General features: G+C 44.5%; 1 protein-coding gene and 1 pseudogene across 6 annotated transcripts in view, besides 1 other annotated feature; both read left to right on the top strand.

Annotated features, from left to right (window-relative positions):
* Positions 1 to 18,050, top strand: part of TIPIN (TIMELESS interacting protein) — a 50,527-nt gene that overhangs the window by 6,774 nt on the left and 25,703 nt on the right. The gene's annotated exons all lie outside the window — the stretch shown is intronic.
* On the top strand, positions 7 to 706 carry RPL9P25 (ribosomal protein L9 pseudogene 25; annotated as a pseudogene).
* Positions 9,887 to 10,046: an enhancer, noted in NCBI's record as "active region_9611". NCBI's record gives its function as "activates an Ori minimal core promoter by ATAC-STARR-seq in GM12878 lymphoblastoid cells {active_cell/tissue: GM12878}" and the evidence as "EXISTENCE:reporter gene assay evidence [ECO:0000049][PMID:35858748]".

Here is an 18,050-nt window from a genome sequence, read left to right as displayed (position 1 = left end):
CAGGTCCTTTGCCGTGTGTACTGCGAGAGTGAAGACCATTCTCATTAATCAGACTGTCGACATTCCAGAAAATGTCAACATTACTCTGAAGGGACACACAGTTATCGTGAATGGCCCCAGAGGAACCCTGCGGAGGGACTTCAATCACATCAATGTAGAACTCAGTCTTCTTGGAAAGAAAAAAAAAGAGGCTCTGGTTGACAAATGGTGGGGTAACAGAAAAGAACTGGCTACCGTTCGGACTATTTGTAGTCATGTACAGAACATGATCAAGGGTGTTACACTGGGCTTCCGTTACAAGATGAGGTCTGTGTATGCTTACTTCCCCATCATCGTCGTTATCCCGGAGAATGGGTCTGTTGTTGAAATCCGAAATTTCTTGGGTGAAAAATACATCCGCAGGGTGCGGATGAGACCAGGTGTTGCTTGTTCAGTATCTCAAGCCCAGAAAGATGAATTAATCTTTGAAGGAAATGACATTGAGCTTGTTTCAAATTCAGCGGCTTTGATTCAGCAAGCCACAACAGTTTAAAACAAGGATATCAGGAAATTTTTGAATGGTATCTATGTCTCTGAAAAAGGAACTGTTCAGCAGGATGATGAATAAGATCTAAGAGTTATCCAGCTACAGAAAGAAGACGCCAGATGACTCCTAAGACCTACTTGTGATATTTAAATGATGTAATAAAAGACCTGTTGATTTGGAGAAAAGTAAATAGCTAAATAAATTCCAGGTGCATCAAAGATGCAATCAAGGCCAGGCACAGTGGCTCATGCCTGTGATTCCAGCATTTTGGGAGGCAGAGGCGGGACAATTGCTTAACGCCAGGAGTTTGAGACCAGCCTGAGCAATATGGGAAGACTCCATCTCTACAAAAAAAAAAACTTTGTGCACGGCGGCTCATGCCTGTAACCTAACACTTTGGGAGACCAAGACGAGAGAATTGCCTGAGGCCAGGAGTTTAAGACCAGCCTAGTCAACATAGTGAGACCCCCATTTCTTAAGAAAATATTTTTAATAAAATTAACAAAAGATAAACTTAGCCAGGCATGGTGGTACATCCCTGTAGTCCCAGCTACTTGAGAGGCTGAGGTGGGAAGATTACTTAGGCCCCGGAGGTCCAGGTTAGAGTGAGTCATGATCAAACTACTGCACTCTAGCCTGGACAATAGAGTGAGACCCTGTCTCAAAAAAAAAAATATGGAAGAAAAGAATAAAGAAAGAAAGGTGAAATCATACAAGTACTGCTAGAGAAGCTAGATAAGATCATGGGAAATTTTTTTTTTTATTTTGGAATGAGAAAAACATTTGAAGAAAGACACAAACTGTCAAAACCATAAAGGCAAAGATTAATAAAATTAACCTCACAAAGATTTAACATTTCTCCATGGAGAAAAAACACCTTGTACAGAGATATAAGTACACAAATGGTAAGCTGAGAAAATAAACATTTACAATATCTGCAATATAATAAAAGTCTAATTTCTTTAATATAATTAAGAGCAATCGGCTGGGCGCGGTGGCTCACACCTGTAATCCCAGCACTTTGGGAGGCCAAGGAAGGCAGATCACGAGGTCAGGAGATGGAGACAAGCCTGGCCAACATGGTGAAACCCCGTCTCTACTAAAAATACAAAAATTTGGCCGGGTGCGGTGGCTCACGCCTATAATCCCAGCACTTTGGGAAGCCTAGGTGGGCGGATCACGAGGTCAGGAGTTCAAGACCACCCTGGCCAACACAGTGAAACCCTGTCTCTACTAAAAATACAAAAATTAGCCGGACATGGTTGCATACACCTGTAATCCCAGCTACTCAGGAGGCTGAGGCAGGAGAATTACTTGAACCTGGGAGGCAGAGGTTGTGGTGAGCTATCACACCACTGCACTCCAGCCTGGGTGACTGAGTGAGACTTTGTTTAAAAAAAAAAAATTAGCTGGGCATGGTGGTGTGCACCTGTAATCCCAGCTACTTGGGAGACTGAGGCAAGAGAATTGCTTGAACCCAGGAGACAGAGGTTGCAGTGAGCCAAATCGTGCAATTGCACTCCTGCTGGGGCAACAGAGCGAGACTCCGTCTCAAGAAAAAAAAAAAGAAAAAATTAGTCGGGTGTAATGACATGTGCCTGTAGTCCCTGCTACTCGGGAGTCTGAGGCAGGAGAACTGGTTGAGCCCAGGAGGGAGAGGTTGCAGTGAGCCGAGATTGCGCCACTGCAATCCAGCACTCCAGCCTGGGCAACAGAGCGAGACTCCAAGTTAAAAAACAAAACAAACAAAAAAAAACCCAGGCGCTGTGGCTCACGCCTGTAATCCCAACACTTTGGGAGGCCAAGATGGGTGGATCACAAGGTCAGGAGTTCGAGACCAGCCTGGCCAATATGGTGAAACCCCATCTCTACTAAAAATACAAAAATTAGTTGGGCGTGGTGGCACGCGCCTGTAGTCCCAGCTGCTCAGGAGGCTGAGGCAGGAGAATCACTTGAACCCAAGAGGCGGAGGTTGCAGTGAGCCAAGATGGCGCCACTGCACTCCAGCCTAGGTGACAGAGCAAGAATGTCTCAAAAAATAAAAATAAAAGAAAAAGAGCAATTACAAATTAAAAGAAGATCATCATTCATCCAATAGAAACATAAGGAAAGTATTAATACATCAATATAGGTAGTTCACAGATAAAGTCATACAAATGGCTTTCAAAATTCTACTCGCTTAGAGAAATGCAAATTATGAGAGATCACCTTTCACTTATCAATATTATTGAACATATGGGAGAAAAGGCATTCTCATACACTATTGCTGGGAGTATAATTGCTGCACTCTCTTTTTTTTTTTTTTTTTTTGAGAGGGAGTCTTGCTCTGTTGCCCAGGCTGGAGTGCAGTAGCCTGGTCTCGGCTCACTGCAACCTCCACCTCACGGGTTCAAGCGATTCTCCTGCCTCAGCCTTCTGAGTAACTGGTATTACAGGTGCCCACCACCATGCCTGGCTAATTTTTGTATGTTAGTAGAGATGGGGTTTCACCATTTTGGCCAGGTTGGTCTCAAACTCCTGACCTCAAGTGATCCACCAGTCTTGGCCTCCCAAAGTGTTGGGATTACAGGCGTAAGCCACCGTGCCCAGCTGCTGCAATCTCTTTAAAGGGCATTTTGGCAATAACTGTTTAAAGTCCCAATACTGACCCAGCATTGCATAATTTTTCCTTAGAAATTATCAGACCTGGGGCTGGGCACGGTGGCTCATGCCTGTAATCCCAGCACTTTGGGAGGCCAGAGTGGGGGGGTCACTTGAGGTCAGGAGTTCAAGACAGCCTGGCCAACATGATGAAACCTCATCTCTACTAAAAATACAAAAAATTAGCCAGGCTTGGTGGTAGACGCCTGTAATCCCATCTACTCAGGAGGCTGAGGCAGGAGAATCGCTTGAACCTGGGAGGCAGAGGTTGCGGTGAGCCGAGACCACATCATGGCACTCCAGCCTGGGAAACGAGCAAAACCCCGTCTCAAAAACAAAAACAAAAAAAAAGAAAAAAATTATTAGACATATATACCAAAAAACCTTTTTCTACATACATGATTACTGCAGCATTATTTAAAACAGAAAAAAAGAAACTGGAATCTGTCTGTCAAAAGGAGAGTAAATTATGACATACAAATAAATCATGACACATTTATACAAAGAAGTACTATACAGTACGGTCATTCCAAAGAATGAGGCAGACATATTTATGCTGGTATAGAAAGATCTTCAAAATGTATGATGTGAAACAAAATAAATGGAGCAGAACATTGTGTAGTAACTATTTGTTAGAAAAACAAAAAAAAGGATATATTTGGTTTTGTGGGTTTTGGTTTTGTTTTGGGACAAGGCCTCACTCCATTTCCAGTGCAAAGGCTGGATCATAGATCACTTTAACCTTGAACTCCTGGGATCAGTGATCCTCTTGCCTTAGCCTCCCCAATAGCTAGGACTACAGGCGTGCGCCGCCGTGACTGGCTAATTTTTTTATTTTTTGTAAAGACAGTGTATCCGTATGTTGCCTAGGTTGATCTTGAACTCCTTGCCTCAAGTGATCTCCCACTTAAACCTCCCAAAGTGCTGGGACTACAGGCATGAACACCTGGACAAGAATATATTTGTATATGTGCTTTTATATGAAAGAAAATTTCCGTAAGCACAAAAGAGCAATTGTTAATAGTGTTTGTCTCCGGGGAGGAACTCTGAGAAGCCTGGAGGCAGATTAAGTTTCCTTTTCATTTTGCAGCCTTTGGTACTAGTAGAGACGGGGTTTCACCATTTTGGCCAGGTTGGTCTCAAACTCCTGACCTCAAGTGATCCACCAGTCTTGGCCTCCCAAAGTGTTGGGATTACAGGTATAAGCCACCGCGCCCAGCTGCTGCAATCTCTTTAAAGGGCTTTTGAAATATATATATATATATATATATATATATAACTTTTCCAATTAAAAACAACATTAGGCTGGGCGTCGTGGCTCATGCCTGTAATCTCAGCACTTTGGGAGGCCGAGGTGGGCAGATCGCTTGAGCTCAGGAGTTCAAGACCCACCTGGGCCACATAGCAAGACCCTTGTCTCTAAATAAATAAATAAACAAAAACAGAGTGAAAAAGAAAGAAGACATTTGCAATGAATATATTTTTTAAGAGGAGGGGTCTTACTGTGTTACCCAGGCTAAAGTGTAGTAGCTATTCACAAGCACAATCATAGTGCACTGCCACCTGAAACTCCTGGCCTCAAGCGATCTTCTCACCTCAGCCTCCTGAGTAGCTGGGATTATGGACATGCACCACTGCACCTGGCTCATATAATGCATATATCCAAAAACACCCACAAACCTCATATCCAGAATATATGAAGAACCCCTACGCATTAACACAAAAAGAGATAGACAATCCAATTAAAAAACCAAAAAAAATGGGCAAAGCCAGACACAGTGGCTCAGGCCTGTAATCCCAGCACTTGGTGGAGGCCCAGAAGGGCAGATCACTTGAGGTCAGGAGTTCGAGACCATCCTGGCCAACATGGTGAAACCCTGTCTCTACAAAAAAGTTGGCCAGGCGCAGTGGCTCACACCTGTAATCCCAGCACTTTGGGAGGACAAGGCAGGCGGATCACCTGAGGTCAGGAGTTGGAAACCAGCCTGGGCAATATGGTGAAACCCCGTCTCTACTAAAAATACAAAAAAATTAGCTGGGCGTGGTGGCAGGCACCTGTAATCCCAGCTACTTGGAAGGGTGAGGCAGGAAAATCGCTTGAACCTGGGAGGTAGAGGTTGCGGTGATCCGAGACGGCACCATTGCACTCCAGCCTGGGCAACAAGAACGAAACTCCATCTCAAAACAAAAACAAAAACAAACAAACAAAAAAAATTAGCCGAGGATGGTGGCATGCACTACTTGGGAGGCTGAGGCAGGAGAATCACTTGAACCTGGGAAGCAGAGGTTGCAGTGAGCGAAGATCAAGCCACTGCCTCCAGCCTGGGTGACAGAGTGAGACCCTGTCTCAAAATAAATAAATACACTTTTAAAAATGGGCAAAACACTTGAACAGGAACTTCACAAGGGAAGATATCCAAATAGTCGATAAATATATGAAAAGATGCTGAAATTCCTTAGTTATGGGGAAATGCAAATTAAAACCGCAGTGTAAGTACCTAATGCTACTGAATTGTAAACTTAAAAATGATTTAAGCTGGGCACAGTGTGAGGGGATCATACTTCTGTAGTCCCAGCTACTCTGGAGGCTAAGATAGGAGGATTCCTGGTACCCAGAAGTTCAAGGCTAGCCTGGGCAACATAGCAAGATCCTGTCTCTTAAAAAAAATTAAAACAATCTAAATAGTAAATGTTTTATTATGTATATTTTACCACAATTTAAGAACACACAGTGTGATACTACGTCCACTATTCTGGCTAAATTGAAAAAAGACAAGCTGGGCATGGCAGCTCATGCCTGTAAACTCAGCACTTTGGGAAGGCGAGTCAAAAGGGTCGCTTGAGCCCAGGAGTTCAAGACCAGCCTGGACAACATAGGGCGACCCTGTCTCTACAAAAGATTTAAAAATTAGCCAGGTGTAATGGTACATGCCTGTGGTCCCAGCTACTCAGGAGGCTGAGGTAAGAGGATCAGTTGCACCCAGTAGTTGGAGGCTGCAGTGAGCCATGATCCTACTATTGCACTCCACTCTACCCTGAGTGACAGAGCAAGACTCTGTCTCAAAAAACCAAATTAATTAATTAATAAAAAAAGAAAAAGACAATATCAAATGTTGATAATGATGTGGAACTATTATGACTTCCTTACACTGATGGTGAGAGTATATTTGTGTAACCAGTTTGGAAAACTGGCGATATCTTCTAAGATTTAACATCTTCCCTGTGACCCAAAATATACATGACTGTATATTTTATTTCTTTTTCTTTTCCTTTTTTTTTTTTTTTGAGACGGAGTCTCGCTCTGTCGCCCAGGCTGGAGTGCAGTGGTGCGATCTCAGCTCACTGCAAGCTCCGCCTCCCGGGTTCATGCCATTCTGCTGCCTCGGCCTCCCGAGTAGCTGGGACTACAGGCGCCCGCCACCACACCTGGCTAATTTTTTGTATTTTTAGTAGAGACGGTGTTTCACCGTGTTAGCCAGGATGGTCTCAATCTCCTGACCTCGTGATCCTCCCGCCTCAGCCTCCCAAAGTGCTGGGATTACAGGCGTGAGCCACTGCGCCCGGCCATGACTGTGTATTTTATTTCGATATACAGTCATGTATTGCATAATGATGGGAATATGTTCTGAGAAATGTGTCATTAGGCGATTTCATCATTGAGCAAACAACATAGAGTATACTTACACAAACCTAGATAGTGTAACCTACTACACACCTAGGCTACATGATACAGCCTATTGCTCCTAGGCTACAAACCTATATGTTACATTACTGTACTGAATAGTGTAGGCAGTTGCAGCACAATGATATTTCTGTATCTAAACATAGAAAAGCTACATTAAAATTTGGTATTACAATCTTTTTTTTTTTTCCCCAAGACGGGGTCTTGCTCTGTCACCCAGGCTGGAATGCAGTGGCATGATCTCAGCTCACTGCAACCTCCGCCTCTCAGGTTCAAGCAATTCTCCTGCCTCAGCCTCCCAAGTAGCTGGGATTACAGGCCCCCGCCCCCACACCTGGCTAATTTTTGTATTCTTAGTAGAGACAGAGTTCACCATGTTGGCCGGGCTGGTCTCAAACTCTTGACCTCGTGATCCGCCTGCCTTGGCATCCCAAAGTGCTGGGATTACAGGCGTGAGCCACAGGTCCCGGCCCTATTATTGTACTCTTATGGGACCATCATCATATATGTGGGCTGTGGTTGACCAAAACGTTTTTATGTGATGTGTGGCTATATATGTTCACCAAAAATCATTTACAAGAAAGTTTATGGCAGCATTATTTGTAATAGTTATTGGGGAAACAACCCAAGTTTCAGTAAATGGATAAATTGTGATAAATTCACACAATGGAATACTCCATAGCATTGTAAAAATGGACTACTACTTGCAACAATATGCGTAAATCTCACAAACATCCTGTTGAGTAGAAGCTAGACACAAGAAAGTAATATTATTTTTTTCTTTCATATAAAGTTCAAAACCTGGCAAACCTAGTCTATGGTGGTAGAAGTTGGGATAGTGGTTATCCTTGAGGAAGAGAGTGAGGAAGGTGAGATGAAGGGGGCTTTCTGGGTGCTGGCAACCTCTGCTTTCTTGATCTGGGTGCTGGTTACACAGTGTGTTCCATTCATGACTTGTGTACTTTTCTGTCTGTATGTTACCCTTCAGTAAAACAATTACCAACTAGGCACAGTGGCTTATGCCTGTAATCCCAACACTTTGGGAGGCAAAGGTGGGTGGATCGCTTGAGCTCGGGAGTTCAAAACCAGCCTGGGCAATATAGTGAGAACCTCTCTCTATAAAAAATACAAAAATTAGCTAGGCATGATGGCAAGTGCCTGTAGTCCCACCTACTCAGGAGCCTGAGGTGAGAGAATTGCTTGAGCTGGGGAGATTGAGGTTGCAGTGAGCTATGAGCATGCCATGGCACCCCAGCCTGGGCAAAAGAAACAATTACCAGGCCAGGCACGGTGGCTCACGCCTGTAATCCCAGCACTTTGGGAGGCTGAGGCGGGCGGATCACGAAGTCAGGAGATCGAGACCATTCTGGCCAACACGGTGAAACCCCGTCTCCACTAAAAAATTCAAAAAAAAATTAGCCAGGCATGGTGGCGGGTGCCTGTAGTCCCAGCTACTCAGGAGGCTGAGGCAGGAGAATGGCCTGAACCTGGGAGGCAGAGCTTGCAGTGAGCCGAGATCGCGCCACTGCACTCCAGCCTGGGCAACAGAGTGAGACTCCATCTCCAAAAAAAAAAAAGAAACAATTACCAGAGAAAAGAAAAATAAATAAACTCATGGAAAAACTTTTTTTTTCCCAGAAAATAAAGCAGACTGACCCAAATATATTTTTATTTGTCCTCTTTTGCTTTTTAGGTTGAAAAAAATGATATAGGCCTTTCTCACATTAAAACACTTACGTCTTCTGAGAATTTTGTGGGTTTTGCTCCAAATTTTTCTGTTTTTTAAATTATATAACAAATACTACCTTATTAGTTGAGGGGAGGGAGACCAGAAAAGTATACAACAGGTAGTAGAAAGCTTGATACACTTACACTTTTTTTTTTTTTTTGAGAGTTTCCCTCTGTTGCCCAGCCTGCAGTGCAATGGCGAGATCTCAGCTCACTGCAACCTCTGCCTCCTGGGCTCAAGTGATTCTCATGCCTCAGCCTTCCGAGTAGCTGGTATTACCAGCATGTGCCACCACACCTGGCTAATTTTTGTATTTTTAGTAGAGACGAGGTTTCACCATGTTGGCCAGGCTGGTCTCGAACTCCTGGCCTCAAGTGATCCATATGCCTTGGCCTCCCAAAGTGCTGGGATTACACGTGTGAGCCACCGCGCCTGGCCTTGCTTGATACACTTTCATCCATATTCACGTGCAGTTGATATTATAGGATCAGTGAGGTTTATGATATTATCAGTTGAACAGTTTTATTTTAGTGGCAAGTCCATATTTGCTTCCTTACAAATTAAGATCTTTTATTCTTTTATTATGAAAAGTTCAGTTGGAAAATTCAAAATAAAAAAAACTTGCTCATTGCACACGGAAGTTATTTCACATGAAGAAATTCCACCTTACTTTTTTTCTTATTTTAATACCACATTTTTCTATACTTTAATCCTGAGAGAACTCTGGCTCTATATCAATTGCTTTTAAATCCATTGTCTGGATTTTTAAGCTCCTGTGAGTTTGGCAGCTGTTCCTATTGAGTAACTGAGTAAAGAGTTACAGTGCAAAGAGTGATATTACTATCCCCTCTGCACCCCGCCCCATGCCCCTGCTGGCCCTCCTCCCCTCCAGCCCCCCACCAAGGACATCCGCTTCCTTGGTTCTTCACGTCCGACATTCTGAATGCAATGAAACCACTAGGTTATTTTGAGAGCCACTTTTAATGGTCTCTTGCCCTTTAATTAAAGGAAAAGATGCCTCAACAAGGTGAAAGATGATGCAATTTCAATTGCTCTCTAAGGATGTGGCTTAAACCATACAGGATGTCAGATCCAGCACCTGTTTTTTGGTGGGAGTCAGGGTAGGGACCTCGTTCTGGCTTGGCAGACGTGGTACTGTGGTATTTTGCTTTTTACCCTTGGATAGCGCAGTGAAAGAAGATATACTCAGGACATACCAGCTTCCTCGAGGGCAGCTGTGGAGAAGGAAGTCGTGACTTCCTTTGAAATCACAGTCCAGAATCCCGGATATTCTTATTTTCAAGTCTGGTTTGAGAGTAAACAAATCTCAAATCTCTTTCCCAGGACATTCATTCAAATACATGTCATAATTGGGGTTTTTTGTTGTTGTTTGTTTTTCCCTCATGCTTTCTTCCACTCAATGGAAAACCCCTGCATCATCCGTTTCCTGCCAAGTGCTTTGCAAAGATTACAAGCAGGAAATTTAAAATGAGAATGACCATTTGAGCTACAGTGATCAGGCAACTATGATAATAAGAGGATGTGGGACCTATACAGCAGAGCCATTATAAAGTTTATCGGTGTTTTTATAATTCCCTCTTGCTCAGGGGCAGGTCAAATTATAGAGAGCTGAGAATTTGCATGAAAAGGTTTCATCTCCAACAATGAACTATGCATGGCATATAGTCATGAGTTCGTGTATATTTTAAGATATTGTAAGGCCGGGCGTGGTGGCTCACGCCTGTAATCCCAGCACTTTGGGAGGCTGAGGCGGGTGGATCACGAGATGTGGAGATCGAGACCATCCTGGCTAACATGGTGAAACCCCGTCTCTACTAAAAATACAAAAAATTAGCCGGGCATGGTGGCAGGCGCCTGTAGTCCCAGCTACTCGGGAGGCTGAGGCAGGAGAATGGCGTGAACCCGGGAGGCGGAGCTTGCAGTGAGCCAAGATGGCACCATCCAGCCTGGGCGACAGAGCGAGACTCTGTCTCAAAAAAAAAAAAAAAAAAAGATATTGTGAACTATTATTATTGGTACATTCATGCATTTTGTACTTTATTTATATACTCCCAGGGAGCAAGGAATCTCTTCTGTGCAATGTGCCAGATTGCTTTAATTGTACAGCCTCATAAAATATAAACTTGTTATTATAATGATAACATTGTTGTGTCATTATGATTACCGCTGAACCATGCAGCTATTTATCCTTGCTCCCCTCTATGCTTTCTCTAAATAGATAGACCTTTGTAACTGGATCCTAGACTGGCACCTGAGATGCGGCTTTTGCATTTAAAGAGTGGGAGACTGAATTCATCTTAGAATTTTAGAGCCGAATTTTAGAGGTCCTGGTGTTCAGGCAGCCCACTTTATAAATAGGAAAACTCAGCTTCAGAGAGTTCAGTGATGTCCTCCAAGGTCGCACAGCTAGTTAGGGTTAGAACAGGGACATCATCTGATTGCCAGACCCATGATCTTTTAAAAAGTCTCTGGTATCTTGCCAAAGAGTAGATAGGTAAAATTAGTTTTATCGATTGTTAGTAGGTTTGTTTGGCTAGGACATTTTCAAATATCTCTAATTAAACGTCTTGATTATGCCAAAAAACAATAATATGATTATTTTTCCTTTGTCTATCATACCTTTCTCCAGTTTTGATACTCACCTTCAATTTCAAGTTATAGCAAGCCATATTTTGCATAAATTCAATATATTTGGATATATCATAATCCATACTTCTTTTGAGTTCTATGGATTTGGGGCCTAACACAGAAACTGGCAAATCTAGGTGCCATTCAAACTTAGTTTATAGACTATATTTTTATTTTGTTTATTTATTTGAGACAGGGTCTTACTCTGTCACCCAGGCTGAAGAACAGTAGCACGATCATGGCTCACTACAGCCTGTAACTCCCAGGCTCAAGTCTCAGCCTGGAACTCCTTTTGTCTCAGCCTCCCAAGCAGCTGGGACTACAGGTGTGTGATACCATACCCAGCGCTTTTTTTTTTTTTGTAAAGATGAGGTCTTGCTATGTTGCCTAGGCTCGTCTCAAACTCCTGAACTCAAGTGATCCTCCCTCCTTGGCCTCCCAAAGTGCTGGGATTATAGGCATGAGCCACTGTGCCCAGTCTATAGACTATTTTTTTAAAAAGCAATTTCCTATAATGCCCATGATGTATATAGTCCAAATTTAGAAATTTATTTTAGGGAAATAATCCAAGATGTACAAAGATTTAGGCTGGGCGTAGGGTCTCACGCCTGCAATCTCAGCACTTTGGGAAGCCGAGGCAGGCAGATCACAAGGTCAGGGGTTCGAGACCAGCCTGGCCAACATAGTGAAACCTCATCTCTACTAAAAATACAAAAATTAGTCAGCCATGGTGGCGCGCACCTGTAGTCCCAGCTACTCAGGAGGCTGAGGCAGGAGAATTGCTTGAACCCGGGAGACAGAGGTTGTGTGAGCCGAGATCACGCCACTGCACTGCAGCCTAGGCAGCAGAGCAAGACTTTGAATCAAAAAAAAAAAAACAAAAACAAAGATTTATGTATAACAGGGACATTTGGTTCAGCATTACTCATAATAACAAAATAGCAACACAAAGTAATGTCCTTTTTTTTTCTTGGAAAAAAAACATAAAAAATTGTTTACAGTGATTATATTTAGAAAGACTTGCTAGCCAAGTGTGGTGGCTCATGTCTGTAATCCCAGCACTTTGGGAGGCCGAGGCAGGCAGATCACGAGGTCAAGATTTCAAGACAAGCCTGGACAACATAGTGAAATCCCATCTCTACTAAAAATACAAAAGTTAGCCAAGTGTGGTGGTGGGTGCCTGTAGTTCCAGCTACTTCGGAGGCTGAGGCAGGAGAAACGCTTGAACCCAGGAGTCAGAGGTTGCAGTGAGCCGAGATCATGCCACTGCACTCCAGCCTGGGTGACACAGCGAGACTCCATCTCAAAAAAAAAAAGACAGACTTGCTCAATGGGAAGAAAATCTTTCCTTTTGCTTTTTGTGTCTGTTGTTTGTATCATTTGATTTTTCTGTCCACATAGATGTACTAATTTATTTTCTTCAAAAACATCAACAGATATATATCTATAGATATAGATATAGATATATAGATAGATATAGATATAGATACAGATATAGATATAGATATAGATATAGATATAGATATAGATTTTTTTTTGAGACAGAGTCTTGCTCTGTTGCCCAGGCTGGAGTGCAGTGGCGCGATCTTGGTTCATTGCAACCTCTGCATCCCCATTTTGAGCGATTCTCCTGCCTCAGCCTCCTAAGTAGCTGGAATTACAGGTGCTCACCAGCACGTATGTCTAATTTTGTATTTTTAGTAGAGACGGTGTTTCGTCATGTTGACCAGGCTGGTCTCAAACTCCTGACCTCGAGTGATCACCTGCCTTGGCCTCCCAAAGTGGTGGGATTACAGGTATGAGCCACCATGCCCAGCCAATGGGCTTCCAATTTTATTACTGTTGCCCTGGATTTCTCTCCCTGCATTTTGGACACACATAGTCCACTGCTTCCTTGGAATTTCTTTTCTTTTTCTTTTTTTCTTTCTTTCTTTCTTTTTTTTTTTTTTTTGAGATGGAGTCTTACTTTGTTGCCCAGGCTAGAGTGCAATGGTGCATTCTCAGCTGACTGCAACCTCCGCCTCCTGGGTTCAAGCAATTCTCCTGCCCCGGCCTCCCAAGGAGCTGGGACTACAGGCGCAAGCCACCACACCTGGCTAATTTTTTTTTTTTTTTTTTTTGTATATTTAGTAGAGACAAGGTTTCACTGTGTTAGCCAGGATAATCTCGATCTCCTGACCTCGTGATCCTCCTGACTCGGCCTCCCAAAGTGCTGGAATTACAGGCATGAGCCACTGCACCCAGCTTAATGTGCTTTATTTTTTGAGACAGAATTTCACTCTGTTGCCCAGGCTAGAGTACAGTGGCACAATCTCGTCTCACTGCAACCTCTGCCTCCCAGATTCAAGCAATCCTCTTGTCTCAGCCTCCCGAGTAGCTGGGACTACAGGCGCCCGCCACCATGCCCAGCTAATTTTTGCATTTTTAGTAGAGACAGGGTTTCACCATGTTGGCCAGGCTGGTCTCGAACTCTTGACTTCATGATCTGCCCGCCTCGGCCTCCCAAAGTGCTAGGATTACAGGTGTGAGCCACTGCGCCCGGCCAACCCCCAGTTTTTTTTTTTGGGAGGGACTCTAACTCTCCTAAATTGGGTCTCTAACTCAATTCTGCCTTTTACCTGGGATAAAATATACTCCACCACTTAACAAGAGGTGGGCAATTCATGCTGCAGTATATTTCTTTTGGGTAGGGTGATTCTCCAATATTGTCCCTTTGTGGTCGCCAGGAAGAGATTACTGGAACATAGTCTTAATTTAGACCCCAAGAGAGGGTTTTTGGATCTTGTGCAAGAAGGAATTTGGGGCAAGTCCACAGAGTAAAGTGAAAGCAAGTTTATTAAGAAAGTAAAAAAAGTAAACTAATATGCAGAGCAGGCTGGGCGCGGTGGCTCACACCTGTAATCCCAGCACTTTGGGAGGCTGAGGCGGGCAGATCACGAGGTCAGGAGTTCGAGACCAGCCTGACCAACAGGGTGAAACCCCGTCTTTACTAAAAATACAAAAATTAGCCGGGCATGGTGCCACGCACCTGTAATCCCAGCTACTCAGGAGGCTGAGGCAAGAGAATTGCTTGAACCCAGGAGGCAGAGGTTGCAGTGAGCCGAGATCGTGCCACTGCACTCCAACCTGGGCGACAGAGCTAAACTCCGTCTCAACAGAAAAAACAAAAAAAACAATATGCAGAGCAGCAGCTTGGGCTGCTTAACTGAGTATATTTATGGTTATTTATTGATTATATACTAAACGGGTGGATTAAACATGAGGTTCCTGGGAAAGGGGCAGGCAATTCCCAGAATGGAGGGTTCCTCCCCTTTTTAGACTATATAGGGTAACTTCCAGACATTTTCATGGCATTTGTAAACTGTCCTGGCACTGGTGGGAGTGTCTTTTAGCATGTTAATGTATTAGAATGTATTATGTATTATGTATTATGTATAATGTATTATGAGCAGTGAGGACAACCAGAGGTCACTTTCGCCACCATCTTGATTTTGGTGGGTTTTGGCTGGCTTTTGTTACCATATCCTGTTTTACCAGCAGGTCTTTGTGACCTGTCTCTTGCAATACCAGTCCTGTTGACCTCTTATCTCATTTTGAGACAAAGAATGCCTAACCTCCTGGGAATGCAGCCCAACGGGTCTCATCCTCATTTTACTTCAGCTCTTATTCAAGACACAGTTGCTCTGGTTCAAATGCCTTTTTCTCCAATTATATTTCTTTCTTTTCTTTCTTTTTCTTTTTCTTTTTTTTTGAGATGGAGTTTCACTCTTGTCACCCAGGCTGGAATGCAGTGACGTGATCTCAGCTCACTGCAACTTCTCCCTCTCGGGTTCAAGCAATTCTCCTGCCTCAGCCTCCTAAGTAGCTGGGATTACAGGCGCCTGCCACCACACCCAGCTAATTTTTGTATTTTAGTAGAGACGAGGTTTCACCATGTTAGTCAGGCTAGTCTCGAACTCCTGGCCTCAGGTGATCTGCCTGCCTCGGCCTCCCAAAGTGCTGGGATTAGAAGTGTGAGCCTCCAATTACATTTCTACATGCCTCTCCATACTTTGTTGAACCCAAGCATAAAAATATTTTGCCCTGTATTTTTGAGTCTTCATTCGGAATGCCCCAGTGTATACATGTTGAATACATTTGTAATCCTTTTCTCTTATTAATCTGCCTTTTGCAAGTTGATTTTTTAGTGGAACTTTAGAGGGTCCTTGTCCTTTATGGTTGCTTGTCTTTACTCTTTCCTTCATGAAAGACTTCTTGGCTGGGCATGGGCTTATGCCTGTAATGCCAGAACACTGGGAAGCCGAGGCGGGCAGATCACGAGGTCAGGAGTTCAAGACCAGCCTGGCCAACGTGGTGAAACCCCGTCTCTAGTAAAAATACAAAAATTAGCTGGGCATGGCGGCGCCCATCTGTAATCCCAGCTCCTTGGGAGGCTGAGACAGGAGAATTGCTTGAACTCGGGAGGCAGAGGTTGCAGTGAGTCGAGATCGCATTGCTGCACTACAGCCTGGGCAACAAGAGCAAGACTCTGTCTCAAAAAAAAAAAAAAAAAAAAAAAAGAAAAGAAAGATTTCTCTATAGCATGTTGATATGGTTTGGATATTTGTCCCTGCCGAGATCTCATGTTGAATTGTAATCCCTAGTGCTGGATGGGGGCCTGGTGGGAAGTGTTTGGGTCATGGGGGTGGATCCCTCATGGCTTGGTGCTCTTTGTTTTTGTTTTTTGTTTTTTTTTGAGAAAGAGTCTCGCTCTGTTGCCCAGGCTGGAGTGCAGTGGTGCAGTCTCAGCTCACTGCAAGCTCTGCCTCCCAGGTTCACACCATTCTCCTGCCTCAGCCTCTCCGAGTAGCTGGGACTACAGGCGCCTGCCACCACCTCCCGCTAATTTTTTGTATTTTTAACAGAGATGTGGTTTCACCATGTTAGCCAGGATGGTCTCGATCTCCTGACCTCGTGATCCACCCACCTTGGCCTCCCAAAGTGCTGGGATTATGGGCGTGAGCCACCGCACCCAGCGGTGCTCTTTTCAAGATAGTGAGGTCATCAAGAAAGCAGAGGTTGCCAGCATGCTTTTAAATGACCAGATCTCGCTCTGTTGCCCAGGCTGGTGTGCAGTGGCGCGATCTCGGCTCACTGCAATCTCCGCCTCCCAGGTTCACGCCATTCTCCTGCCTCAGCCTCCTGAGTAGCTGGGACTACAGGTGCCGGCCACCACGCCCAGCTAATTTTTTACATTTTAGTAGAGACGGGGTTTCACCATGTTAGCCAGGATGGTCTCGATCTCCTGACCTCGTGATCCGCCCGCCTCGGCCTCCCAAAGTGCTGGGATCATAGATGTGAGCCACCGTGCCCGGCCTAATTTTTGTATTTTTAGTAGAGACGGCGTTTCACCATGTTGGCCAGGCTGGTCTCGAACTCCTGACCTCAGGCAATCCGCCCGCCTCGGCCTCCCAAAGTCTGGGATTACAGGCGTGAGCCACCACACCTGGCCTATTTTTACTTTTCAGAGACAAGGTCTCACTATGTTGCCCAGGCTGGTCTTGAACTCCTGGCCTCAGGAGACCCTTTTGCTTCAGATTCCCAAAGTGCTGGGATTACAGATGTGAACCACCGCACCCAGTCTCTATTTAGTTTTTGGGATCTTCCCCCCATCATTTGCAGCTGAACTGATCTTAACTCTCTGGCCTGCCCAACTGAATTGTTAATGCTGCTGCAGCTCTGAATGGGTGCTAGTTTGGGCATGCCAGTTTGGGCATGTGGTGTACAGGTGGGGGCAAGTATATGTCAGAATCCTGAGATGGAGTCCCTCAAATACACAGCAGACCACTATCACTGGCAACCCAGCACTTACACAAGTGATAAATCCAAAAAACACTAGCCAATAAAGAAGACTCAGGGATTTTGCTTTTTTAATGTGGGATTGAGATAGTTCATGGTCTTTTGGTTTTAAGAGACTCCATTTCTTTTCTTTTTATTTTTATTTACTTATTTATTTTTTGAGATGTAGTCTTTTCTGTCGCCTAGGTTGGAGTGCAGTGACCTGATCTTGGTTCACTGCAACGTCTGCCTCCCGTGTTAATGCCAGTCTCCTGCCTCAGCCTCCCGAGCAGCTGAGACTACTGGCATGTGCCACCAGACCTGGCTAATTTTTGTATTTTTAGTCGAGATGGGGTTTCCCCATGTTGGCCAGGCTGGTCTCGAACTCCAGACCTCAAGTGATCTGCCAGCCTCGGCCTCCCAAAGTGCTGTGATTACAGGCGTGAAACCGTGCCCAGCCTCCATTTCTCTTCTTTCAAACCTGATCTCTGAGAGCCTATATAGATTTGTGGTGGACTGGGTTCCCTGCTAGAAAAAGTCTGACACTATATTCAATTTTTGGTCTTTCAAAAGTCTTCTTCTTCTTTTTTTTTTTTTAGATGGAGTTTCGCTCTTTGTTGCCCAGGCTCGAATGCAGTGACGCAATCTCGGCTCACTGCAACTTCTGCCTCCTGGGTTCAAGCGATTCTCCTGCCTCAGCCTCCTGAGTAGCTGGAATTACAGGCATGTGCCACCATGCCCAGCTAATTTTTGTATTTTAGTAGAGACAGGGTTTCACCATGTTGGCCAGGCTGGTCTTGAACTCCTGACCTCAGGTGATCCGCCTGCCTTGGCCTCCCCAAGTGCTAGGATTACAGGCATGAGCCACTGTGCCCGGCAGAGCCACCGCGCCCAGCCTCAATTTCTTTCTATTTCCTTTTTTGAGACGGGGTCTGGCTCTGTTGCCCAGGCTGGAGTGCAGTGGCACAATCTCGGCTCACTGCATCCCCCCACTTCCACATTGGAGT

This window comes from Homo sapiens, chromosome 15 (genome assembly GCF_000001405.40).
Source record: "Homo sapiens chromosome 15, GRCh38.p14 Primary Assembly".
NCBI lineage: Eukaryota > Metazoa > Chordata > Mammalia > Primates > Hominidae > Homo > Homo sapiens.
The sequence above is the reverse complement of the archived record's forward strand: the minus strand, read 5'-3'. Positions and strand labels throughout refer to the sequence as shown.